This window comes from Homo sapiens, chromosome 20 (assembly GCF_000001405.40).
Source record: "Homo sapiens chromosome 20, GRCh38.p14 Primary Assembly".
Classification (NCBI taxonomy): Eukaryota; Metazoa; Chordata; class Mammalia; order Primates; family Hominidae; genus Homo; species Homo sapiens.
The window spans coordinates 23,077,816-23,089,738 of NC_000020.11; the positions used below are offsets into that span (position 1 = coordinate 23,077,816).

At 51.0% G+C, this 11,923-nt stretch overlaps 1 protein-coding gene across 1 annotated transcript, besides 2 other annotated features; it reads right to left on the reverse strand.

Moving 5' to 3' along the window:
- Positions 1-1,544: 1,544 nt before the first annotated feature.
- On the reverse strand, positions 1,545-8,509 carry CD93 (CD93 molecule). The gene is made up of 2 exons (NM_012072.4): positions 6,444-8,509; positions 1,545-6,159 (listed from the first exon to the last, which is right to left on the reverse strand). Exons 1-2 carry the CDS (start codon positions 8,375-8,377, stop codon positions 6,135-6,137), a joined length of 1,959 nt encoding a protein of 652 aa, NP_036204.2. The 5' UTR covers positions 8,378-8,509; the 3' UTR covers positions 1,545-6,134.
- Positions 8,493-8,672: an enhancer, noted in NCBI's record as "active region_17627". NCBI's record gives its function as "activates an Ori minimal core promoter by ATAC-STARR-seq in GM12878 lymphoblastoid cells {active_cell/tissue: GM12878}" and the evidence as "EXISTENCE:reporter gene assay evidence [ECO:0000049][PMID:35858748]".
- Positions 10,200-10,339: an enhancer, noted in NCBI's record as "active region_17628". NCBI's record gives its function as "activates an Ori minimal core promoter by ATAC-STARR-seq in GM12878 lymphoblastoid cells {active_cell/tissue: GM12878}" and the evidence as "EXISTENCE:reporter gene assay evidence [ECO:0000049][PMID:35858748]".

An 11,923-nucleotide genomic window follows, 5' to 3' on the forward strand; every position in this document is an offset into this window, starting at 1 on the left:
CAGGAGAGGGCCTGTGCCTGAGCTGCATGCTGAGCACCCTTAAGTCAATCACAGTTCCGGAAAAATGATTGCACTTGATCTATACCTTTTACTCTCTCTGCCTCTTTCTTCACTTTTTCACTGTTGAGCTGTTCATAATTTCCTCTGAAAAGGGAGAGTTAGGAGGCATTCAGAGGATCTGAAGGGTAAACCCATTAGTCATTCTGTTTCTAAGCACCTGTAATGTCAAATATAATTCAGGGAAAGGCTGACTCCGACTTCTCTGGTTTTCAAGTTTATCATCTCTGCTCTCTGTATCTCCTCTTGCTGAATATACACAAGAGTCAGCTGAGAACTTGATAGGCTCACTCAATGCATGTTCAATCCCACAGAAGGTACATAGTACATGTCTGAGTCTCTCATTGTAATCTGCATTTTGTCTGATGATAGCAACACAAATGTACTCTGCATTGTGCAATAGATATGTGTGCAAATTAATTTTTCTTGGCAAATTATTTGTTTGCGAATGATTTACCTAGCATTTAAGAAATTTTAGTGAGATAGCAAAAGTCACCAAAAAATGTAACCATCACAAGTTGGTGTTTTCTTTCATAGGCTTTTCCTAAATTGAGAAACACTGGCCTCAGGTGTTCCAGTACGACACAGAAGGATGTTAGAACTGTGTGTGCTTGTGGGTGTGTGTCTTGTGGGTGTGTGTTGTGTGTGTTTGTGGATGCATATCTCTGTGTCATGCATGTGTGTGTTTATGTGTGTGGGTGTGTGTGTTGGGGGAACAGCCATGGTTGTTCATATCGAGGAATAATTTCCAAGTGTATGTTGTTAATGAATAGACTTCTAACAGGATCAGCTGCATTTAACCCTAAATAATGGATATTTATTGCAAGTGTCCTGTACCATTAGCATAACAGAGCAGAACCCTTTGTTCTTCTTAAGTCCTGTGCCTTTGCCACAGCCTTTTGCACAATCTTAAAAGCAGGCTGACTCAGAATTGACCACCATCTGCTGTTCCTGACTTGGAATCACCATGAGATTTGTGCAGCCAAACAACCAGCGATCTGATCTGCCTGTCCAATTAGTTAAATAAACTGAAAGGGCTTTGCTGACAAAGTAGTGATAAATGCTCCAATGATAATTATAGAACAGTGTTTTCACATCGCATCCATTGGACATGTTTAATTCTGCGCCAGGCATCACCCATGTAATTTACAAGATGCAGAGAATTAAAGAGTGATGAGGGGGCCATGGATGAGTGGACTCAGCTGCCATGGACACTGGGCGCAGTGCAGCCCAGCCCTCTGTATTCCATGTCCCCAAGGGCAGCACGCTGAGGGGCAGGGTACACATTTGCTGAGGTAATGAAGGAAGGCAGAGCCCAGCGCCCCCTGTCGCCTCCAGCAGGTGCAGGTGCAGAAACTCAGCCACAAGGTACCTTCTTTTTAGCAACTCTTTGAAAGGGGAGATGGATAAATGTAATGACCTTGAAAGCAAGTTCTGCCAGGTATTTCGAGTTGTCGTGAAATATATTAAAACAAGTTCACAATCAATGTGTTTAAGAGTTTATTAGGATAGGCACATAACAGAAAGCTCAAAGGACAACAAAGCTGCACCTTCCTAAAGGCTGACCCTCAAAGCACCATTTTGTTAGAACTCAGAGGAGAAGCTCGATCTCTGAGCCTTCCCTCCTCACAGTTTGGGAAACATGCACAGGATGAAGGTAAATCCTGCATAGAAATCTTGTAATTCCAGAATTAGTCAAACAAATTTGAAATACACACATTTAAAAATACTTACATTCTCATTTAGCATTCATGAAGTGATTACTGACATTTACAATTACATCTGACATCACAGAGCAAGCCTTTGCAGGGATCTAATTCAAGCTTAAGCCAAATCTATGCAAAGAACTTCAGCTCAGAGGAATAGTGGGCAAAATCTGCTGAAAAGAACTGCTTGCCACCTTGCAGATAAGAGCAACAGCACAATAAAGGGATTCCAGAGCTTCTACCTAAAATAGAAGGGCATTATCTACAAGAACAGACCAAAACACAATTTATTTTTAAACAAGCCCTTCAGTGAGTATTTGTCTCAGGAATCTAGTATGAAAATAGTGTCTTTGATTAGTGAATATATGGAGAATTCGGATTATCATCTCTATTTTTAGTTGAGAAAATGCACAAACCATATAGATTTAAACCATGGGTTTTGCAGCCGAAGTAGAGACAGATGTTTTCTGGGATCATATCTCAGATTCCCAAGCTAAAGCTATTGTTCAAGGTGATGGAAATATGTAGGGGGCATTAAACCATTTTGCAGCTGCTAGAAAGCTGTGTTTTCCTGTTTTCCTGATTTAGACAATGGAGAAGCTAAGAAGAGAAATAATAGGAAAGGCTTTCCTATGTTAGTTTTAAAAAGACTGTGTTATTTTTAATTCAATTTTTTTTTGTCAAATCTCATCTCTGTTCTCCTAGTTTTCACAGAAATATTTACAGGAATAAAGGTTGAAACAAAAGTACCTAATGATCATCTCCATCCATCGAAAGATTGCTCAGGGATAAGACACTCAAACAAGGGCTTGTGATGAGGATGGAAAAGACAAAGCAACTTGAAGAGAAAAAAAAATTCTTTTAAACTCAGTTCATCCTGCAAAATGGACATAACACATGCATATAAAGGTTTGACTTTTTAATTCCACTTTTTTGCCTGATCGCAGGGAAGATGGCATGTGGCTGGCCCTTCCTGAAGCCTTGCTCCTCCACCACTGGCTAACAGACAGGCCTCCAGGTGGCCTTGCAAGGCCGACAGTGACCGCAGCCCACTTCCCCACATCCTTAATCAGAGCCTCATGCAGTTCATCCCCACATTACCCAAACATAACGTCGTAGTGCTACACGTAGATGTGTTGCATCATGATGCTATGGCAATGACGATGACGCTTAGGTGTGTGGGCCACCGAAGGCAGAGACCAGATGTGGTTGGTCTTGCCTGGAAGCCAAGCTGTTGAGCAGGGGTGGAGTCCCTCTACAGAGGATGCTCACCAAGTTCTAATGCATTGTCGATAACTGTCCTGCCCTGGTTTTTCTGCATTCCTCAGATTATCTGTGGGAATTGTCCTCCTGCATCCTTTCTCAAATGACAAAGAAGAAAGAAAGAGCAGTGATGGCACCTGAAATTCAGGAATGAGTAGGCATGGCGAGCTGGGTGTGTGAGATGTTCTCTCTTTACATTGTCTGCTTTGAGATGTGGGATGAGGGGAGGGAGAGAGTTGGTCCTGAATATATTCAGTTTTTTCCAAGAGTCTCCCAGAATTATTGACCTATTTGGACAACAAATCTTCATTGTCTTGGTGTCCATCTCCAAGTGAAAACTTCCCCCGTCCCCATGGCCCTGGCTTGTTCTGCTGCTGAACAGGTCACCTGGGCAGAAACACTGTGTCTAGCGAGAAGTTAGCAGGTGGCAGGGTGCACCTCTCCCCATACTGTGACCCTTGGATTCCCCACTGTGCCACGCCCGAGCAAGCTGGGGCCCCTCAGGACAAGGACGATTTGTTAATGGCCTCTTGGCCGGTGGGCATTTGTTTACCCACTACTGTAGCCCCAAGATCCCCCAAACAAGAATTTCCATGCTTCAAAGTAACAGCAAAAATAAACAGGAGAATAAAGCACGTGTTTGAGCCCAGTGGTTTCCATCAGATGCACAACCTGAGCTGTCTGGTTGGGTTGCTGGCTCTCCCCCCGTGGTGGGAGTGGTGTGCAAGAGAAAGCACCACCCAGCAGGAGAGGGACCCAGCCTGCCAGGGAAGGTTTTGAGGAACTGGATTCTTTATCACCCATTTCTCCCCTTGTGGGTTCCACAGAGGGGTTCCATGACCTCCCTGTTGTTGAGAACAGGGCTGCATTCAGAGAACAGACGATGGGCCTGGGCTGTGAGAGCAATCAGAACACTGTGAAAATAGGAGGGCTCGTTGGATCCCAGGAATCATACACAGACTGCGTTGGGGCTGTGGGAAGCCAAGGACAGAAATGTCTCCTTCACCCCAAATGATAAGGGCAAGGATTTTCAAGGCCCAGAGGGAGAAATGTTGCATTTGCATTTATTTAAGTGCTGATGTTGGTCAGCAGCGCATCCAGCCATGTCTTTAGAATCCTCTGAATGGCCAGACAGATGGCTGCTCTCCACACCACAGACTGCCCAGCTTCACACATCACCTAGAGTCTCGTGGCCAAGGAAGTTTTGCCAAATGGACACAGCCTTTGTCTCCCTTAAGTGTTAAACACCAGAGTTCCAACTGAAAACTGGAGACCATGAGATGACTTTAAAAAGAAGTTCCAAATGCCCCATCGAGCCGCACAAAACCTCCATCTTTCCTTTCACTTCCCCTGCCCCTTTAGTTTTCTATTAAAAACAATCTGAACCATAGCATCTATATTTCAAAACTGGCAAGAGTATTAACCCTGCACCTTGTGGCCCTTCAACCACTCCAGAGTGTCACCTCAGAGACCGATGCATTGCTAAGGCAAAACCAGAAACACCCTTTCTCTGAGGCTTTGGGGCCTTGGAGGGAGACACATTTCCTCTGTCTGTTCTCCTGCACAGTGGTGGTAAAAAGCCCACAGGAGACATGAGGCCTCCCAGAGATACTCAGGTAACTTCTAGTGACTCTGACCATCGGTGACCCCCAGGAATGTGTTCCAGTGCCCCAGGCAGAATGGTGCCGTGTCTCTGTGTGTGTGTGTGTGTGTGTGTGTGTGTGTGTGAGAGAGAGAGAGAGAGAGAAAGAGTGCACACTATCGACTACATTATCATAGGGAGAAATATTTGCAAATGTAACTTTTAAAATGAGGATATAATTTAAATGGCTTTGAGCAGTTTTTGCTGTAAAAATGATTTTAGTTAGTCATCTCTTTCCCTCTTCCTTCCCTCCTTACCCCCAATTTTAAGGAAAAGAGACAGAGAACAAAAGTTCCTTAAGCAAACTGCCTGACTAGCTCCCTACTTGGTGTGTGCGCCACCCACACTTCAGGATTTAAAATCTCAGGATGCTGCATCAACTGTGGACTATGAACTGTGCTAAAATGCTTTAAAATGACAACTTTCAAAACACAGTGCATCATCTCCCGTTCACACATCCTTTAGGAAACAGCCTGATGGAACTTTCTGCAGGGCTTCCTCTGTCTGAGCTCGGAGCACTGGCATTCCGGGCAGGATGAAGTGGAGGCGGGGCCACAGGCAGGGTGTCTGAGGCCTGCCCTGGCTCAAAGACAGGTTGTCCTTGAATTTGTTTCCTTGTTAGTGTTGATCACATCCGTAGTCAAGTGTGTGGTAACCTCAGTACATTTGGATGAATTAATTCAAGTATCTGTGAACAAATCCCTGGCCTCTCTCGCCCTAGCCCCGTAGATTATGTGACTTCACAAACACCTGTAATGCACTTCAAGCAACTTTTCTCATATTTTTCAAGCTTCCTTTGCAAATAAACCCAAGGCTATTAGAAATGTAAGAACTAAAGAGGCACTTCCTGCCTCCTTGCCACCTAAGAGGTTAATTGCACTTCTGGCCATTCTGGAGGATGTCAACAGTATCACATTTAGCAAGACTTGTGCTGGCGAAATGGAGGAATGCAAATGTAAAGAAATGTTTCCAGTCCGAACATGTTCCCTTTGACCAAAAAACCAGATCTTCTTACCTAATTGAATAATTAATTGATTTAGTTTTCATCCTAGGAAGAGAAACAAATCATTTCAATCCTAATCAGCATGAGCAACTCACCTTTTCCTCTTAGATGGTGGAAGTGAGCAGAGAAGATATTCAGGGGAGCCCCTTAGCCCCGGCCTCCTCACACCCTGATCCGGAATTGGTCACATTGGAATTTGAAAAGGGAGGGGGAGTAACAATCATTATAGAGTCACGAAATCCCCACCGTGGCACGCCAACACACAGCTTCCACTTCAGGAACATCAAACACCCGTAGAAAATACCTGCATGTTCCAAGGGGCCTTTAAGGAGGAGACTTACAATTGTTTGCTAAGATTCCAGTCCAGTCTTTCAAAAAAATGTGGGTGCCCCTTTGGAATGGGGAGTTCAAAGCTCTGAGGATGGTGGCTGGTGACTCTAGTGTCTCTAGGGCCACCTCACTTTCAGCAGTCTGTCCCAGGTGTCGGACTATGGGAAACAAAACAGACAGCGTTGGAAGCCATGGCGCCTCTGTGCCTGCACGTCCCCACCTTGGGAGAGAGCCCCACGTGCGGCCGTGCTGCAGATGGGCAGTATGCTCTAAGGGGGCCCGAGTGCCTGGCGTGGGGGGAGGTTGAGGGGTCAGCTGCAAGGACCAGGGTGTGTCTGCCCACAGGAAACCTGGGCCTGCTCTTGCTGCCACCTCTTTGTACTGTAGTCAGTGCCCCCATGCCTGCCCATCCCCTCCCCCGGTCACTCAGGGCCCCCTTTACCTGTACTGGTTCTCCATGGCCCTGCTCTCAGCTCGCTCTGGAACCCAGGAGTAACTGTCTGCCGCATTCTGGGGCTTCTTCTCCTTCTTCTCCTCCCTCTTCGCTCTCCGCTTGCGATAGACCAGTAGCCCCAGAGCCAGGGCCAGCAGGAGTAGGATGGCCACCACGGTGCCTAGGATGTAGAATAAAAGCAGCTTTTGCCCGTCAGTGCCATCGTTGTTTTGTGTGGCCACGGAGGAGTCCCCACCTGCAGGCTCCTGGGGGCCAGAGGCAGCTGTGGCGTGATGGATGCTGGGCTCCCTCCAGACGCCTGGGGACCCACTGGGGGCCAGCATCTTGAGTGGGGCAGATGTGATGGGGGCGTCAGATGACAGCGAAGGTCTACTTGTGGTGGGTGTAGCCTTGGGGGTGCCCTCGGGGCCCCTTGTGGGACTGGCTGTTGCAGCACGGGGCACGGTGCTCCCTTCTTTCTCTCCTTTGTCCTCCTCATCGGGGGGCCCAGATGGTGGTCCCAGAGACACAGGCCCCATGGTGCAAGAGACCCCATTTGGGGCCAGCACCCAGCCTGGCAGGCAGCCACAGTGGAAGGACCCTTGTGTGTTGAAGCACAAGCTGTCGCAGAGGGGGCCCCCCGGGCCCACACACTCATCCACGTCCTGGCACTGAGTCCCGTCCTCCCCGGCCAGGACGTAGCCCTCCTCACAGGAGCAGTGAAATGAGCCATCTGTGTTGGTGCAGCCCTGGGCGCAAGGCGAGCGACCCAGAGCACACTCATCCACATCCTGACAGGCCCCCTCTCCAGGACCGCCCGGCTCATAGCCAACCCAGCATTCGCAGCGGAAGCCCCCAGGGGTGTTGACACACTCCTGGGCACAGGGGGAGTCCTGGCATTCATCCACGTCCACACAGTCCAGCTGACTCGAGTCCAGCTGGTACCCTTGGGGGCAGCGGCACGTGTAGTTTTTCCCATGGGGTCCCAGGACGCACGTGGCCCCCCCACGACATGGGCTGGAGCTGCAAGGGTTTCGAGAGGCACAGGTCACCAGGTCATCCAGCAGCCGGAATCCTGGTCGGCAGCCGCAGAGGAAGGAGCCATCCCCCCCTTCAAAGCAGTCCTGGTGGCAGCCCCCATTGTTGAAGTTGCAGCCATACTTGGGGCTGACACAGAGGGGGCCCGAGCTGCCCCAGTCGAACACATCGGGGGCCTTCTCCTTGCACAGGAAATAATGACTCTGAGTCTCGTCCTTGTCACCTTCCCCACAGGCTACATTGGCCGCAGAGGCAAAGGGCACAGCCTCCAAGGAGGAACTGGTGGTCTGGAAGGGGGTGGTGTAGGTCACCTGACCTGGGCCCCCCAGGGCCAGAGGCCGGCACATGCCTTTGAAGCTGAACTTGCACACGAAGCCCTCAATGTTACTTCCGGGGGAGCCTGGGCTCCCACAGGGGCCCTCAGACCACTTGGGGAGGCGGCTGGGAAGGAGCGGCTGGGACAGGTCCAGCAGCAGAGACACACAGCGCTTGGAGATGCACGAGTTCCGGAGCTCCTTGTGCCAGTTAGAGTAAGGCGTGTCCTCCCCCCCGCCCACCCAGCTGAAGCCCTTCAGCGGCAGACTAGGGTCCAGGCACTTGCCCTTCTCTCGCTGGAGCCCAATCCAGAACTTGCTCATCCTCGCCGTCAGGGCTGCCTCCCGCCTCAGGAGCTGGGCCAGTACTCGCTGGACGTGCTGGGCCTCCTCCTTGCTCTTCACAGTGGCCAGGTTGCCCCCGTTCTGGTTGCAGTGGTTCTGGGCCTCGGCAGCGCTCAGCTTGCCCGAGTGGGCCGTGTAGCAGGCGGTCCCCACGCAGACCACCGCCTCCGTGTCAGCTCCCGTCCCCGCCCCGGGCTGGGTCAGGAGCAGCAGCAGCAGCAGCAGCAGGCCCATGGAGGTGGCCATCCCGGTCTCTGTGTGGCCCTCTGCGGGAGGCGAGAAGCCCAGCGGCGACAGGAGCTTCTATCTCGGCTCCCAGCTGGGCCCCAAGGGGAGCTGAGGGGTGAGCTGCAGCCACTCCGGCGCAGAGAAGGACACAAAGGCTGAGGGCTTTCCACGTCCCCCTGACCCAAGGCGCATCCTGTACTGTTGTACTTCTTATTTCTCACCGGATGTTGGGGCTTCCTGCAATGAATAGTTCTCTGACTCCTGCTGCCTTCATCACGGTGCTGTTGTTCATAAAAGGAGTCAGGCAGCTCTGCCGGGTCCCTGGCTCAGCACTGTGGAAACAGCGACGGGGGGAAGACGTTACAGCCCCGAGATACTGCCGGCTTGATTTTGGCTCCATTCTCTTTCTCATGGCATGAGGAGCCTCGGAGGCATGCCATGGAGTGAGCAGGGGCTTTGGGGGCTAGGAACTCGAGGAAGCTCCCTTAGTAACCCATAATAAAATTCCACTTTGGTTTGCAAACCACCAAAAGAGAAAAAAAAAATTCTGAGACTTAAGACACAAGGCCATGGATGGTTATAATTTTCAGCCTTTTTTAGAAGCAAACTGGACTTTCCTTTTGCCTAGCTCATGTTCTCTGTTGACTTTGGGAGCCTTTTTTCTTTTATCCTCCCATCGTGAACCTTAAATAGACAGGCATTTTTTAAATAGGATACGGGTCGTGGGAATGTCTGGGTTTTCAACATAATGCCAAGCTCCTCGATAATGTTAATCCAAATTGGGTGAAATTTGGCAGTTCTGGGGGTTTCATAGTGGAAATATTGCATTGTGAGGTGTCAGGGTCACAAAAAGCATCAGAAAGAAAATGAAAATGTGTCCGGCCTCGTGGCGCAGGGCTTGCAGGCTCACTTCCCCCGGCTCAGGATTCCTAGCAAGGGCCGGAAATCTGGGCAGGGAGCGGGAATCGAAGCCCGGGCAGGCCCTCCCGCGACACCGCGACTCGGCAAAAGCCAGGGACTCACAGTGTGCTTTTCCTGCAGCCACAGACCTTTGCTCATTGGTTGGGATCCCCCAGGAGGGGACCCTGAGACAGGATTTGGGGAGACTAGTTTATGTGGGAGGGGAAGTGAAACAGACAAGGAGGAAGCCAACCCATGATGACTTGCTGAGAAGGTGACCCTGGGCTGCTGGAGCCAGTGCCAGGAAACTCTGGGGGCCTGAGGGGACCACACCTCAGCACCATCTCAGCTGAGGGAGAGGCTCCACTGCTCTCCAAGTCCCCTGTCATTGGTAGCAGGCTGTATCTCTCACTTTGAGAGACTGACTATAAATTCTAGCCCTGCCCAGTGACCAGGGGTCTCTCTCACATAAAACTTGTTTCTATGGACAGACACCCTTGTGGCTCTCGTCTGACCCATGTCCAGTTTATTCCTATCAAGACAGCCACTTCCTAAGAGATCCCTGATGGGAGGAGAGTTGGGTTGGGGTGTGGGTCAGGGGAGATGCAGGAGGCAGCACAAGAAGACACAGGAAGCAACACAAGCACCGTGTCACTTACAGATCCCAGGGAGAGGGCAGTGCACCCCACGGGGCCAGCAAAAAGTGGGGAGCTGTCTGGGTCACAAACACTCACCTGGAGGGGGGTGAAGGGAGAGAGAGAGACCTGGGTCCTAAGCCTTTATTGGGGTCCAGGACGTTTCCCAAGCAGGTTTCCCAAGGGGACTTCTCACTGGTGGGTTTAGAGCAAACAGACACGGGCTCCGTGGGGTCCCTGTGGCTGAGAGGTGGGCATGGCGGCATGTCTGGGAAGTCCCTGTGGGGTGTGGAGTCACTGAGACCATCAAATGGGCTGTATCTGCCTGTCCCACAGGGAAATGGTCACCAGGAGGTGGGTGTACAAGGCAGATATCTGGGTTGGCCGCATTGAGGAACTGGGAGGGGGTGGAGCCCTAGACACCGTGTCAAGAGCAATAAACCCTGCTTCTGGTAGGAGAGGGTCCAAATTAGATTCAAAATGGATGCAATGCACAATTATAAGAATTCTCTACACAGCGGCAACTCTTTGGTGCTCTGCACTGACCGTGAGGGCCCCAGGGGAAGAAGCGCCACGGTGGAGAACACAGTGAACGCCTGTGGACCCGGCACCAGCGACCACCACAGTGGCCTCCATGGAGATGTTGAGTTGTCCCGGGGGCTAGGAGCTCGCTGGCTCCCCAAGGGACAAGGAGGCATCTCTGACTCCAGCTGGATACCTCCTAAGAATGTGCCTTAAGTCCTTGCATTTTAGCAAAGATATTTGAGACATTTTGGGAACTCTCCATAGAAGCCACCAGACCCTCCCTGTGCCCCTTCATTCATCCATCTGTTTGTCCATCCACCCATCTAACAATTGTTGATTAAGACCCTGCTATGCACTGAGTGAGGCACTGGATTCCAGGAGGGGATCCCTGCCTCTGTGATCCTGGAGTCCTGTTAGAGTGGACAACTTTGAACAAGTCACGGCACTGATGGCTTTATTGCAGGCAGCACAGGGGAGCGGGGAGGTCGTGGTTGATACAGGGGTGGCATCCTGACTGGGGGATGGGCAATTAGGAGAGACTCCTCTGGAGAAGACAGGCAGTCAAGCCGGAATCTAAAGGAGAAGCAGCTCAGATGTGGAATGGTGTCGGGATGGGGGAACAGCATGTACAGAAGCCCTGGGGACAGAGAGTGAGTGAAGGGCAGGGAGACCAAAGCCCAGGCAGTGGGAGGGAGGATGCAGGGGAAGATGGAGCCCTGTGAACCCCAGTAATGAAGGCTTGAGGCTTCGTCTTGAAATCCACGGGGAAACACTGAGGGCTGGCATGAGGCCTACATGTGGAAGGGGACTGGTCAGTGGACCCAAGCAGTGGGTGGGGGGGCCCTCAGCAGGTGGCCGCAGGTTTCCAGGCTGTGGAGTCCAGGTCAGATGTTCTCGGGGCTGGGTGGAGGTGGGGGGAAGGGCACCGGGCACGCAGAAGGACTGCATGGCTCCTGCCGGGAGCTGGGGTCCTGGAAGGCTGTGTCCGCTGGAGGTACCTGGTTCTGAGAACACAGGGGATTGCCTCTTGGGGCTCAGGGTCTCCCAGACCCCCTGTCCTTGTGACCTGCCTCCTCGGGACGCTAAGTGTGCCACCAGAGCTGGGTAAGCAGCCAGCTGTGAGGGGTCCAGGGAAGGCTGGTGTCCCTGGCTCCCAGTCAATATAGCTGGCCATGCATTTGAGTTTGGCAAGGGTCAGTCTTGTTCTCTGCTTGGGAGAAGCTTCATTTCTAAGGGTTTATTTACAAGCAGGTAACTTCTTAACATTCTGTAAAATCAATTCTGCAGCCCTAGCATCCACTCATAGCAGGGAGCCGTTCTCGTGGTCTAGGCCCCTGTTTGTGCAGCTCGGAGGTAGATTCCTCAGAGGTAGATTGTGATCTGCAGCATTCGCTCAGCATTCTACTTAGTTGGTGCTTAAGGATATGGGCTAAATGAGTGACTTTCAGCATGTTAGCCACTCTGACCCCCAGATCTTTGTCAAGATATCTTCTTTAGCTGTAAG

What these genes read in the sequence shown, in the direction of transcription:
- CD93 (NM_012072.4), bottom strand. Translation starts at nt 8,377, where the DNA reads ATGGCCACCTCCATGGGCCTGCTGCTGCTGCTGCTGCTGCTCCTGACC. An exon ending in GCCATGGAGAACCAGTACAG is followed by an intron (nt 6,160 to 6,443) that starts GTAAAGGGGGCC and finishes TGTTTCCCATAG; the next exon opens with TCCGACACCTGGGACAGACT.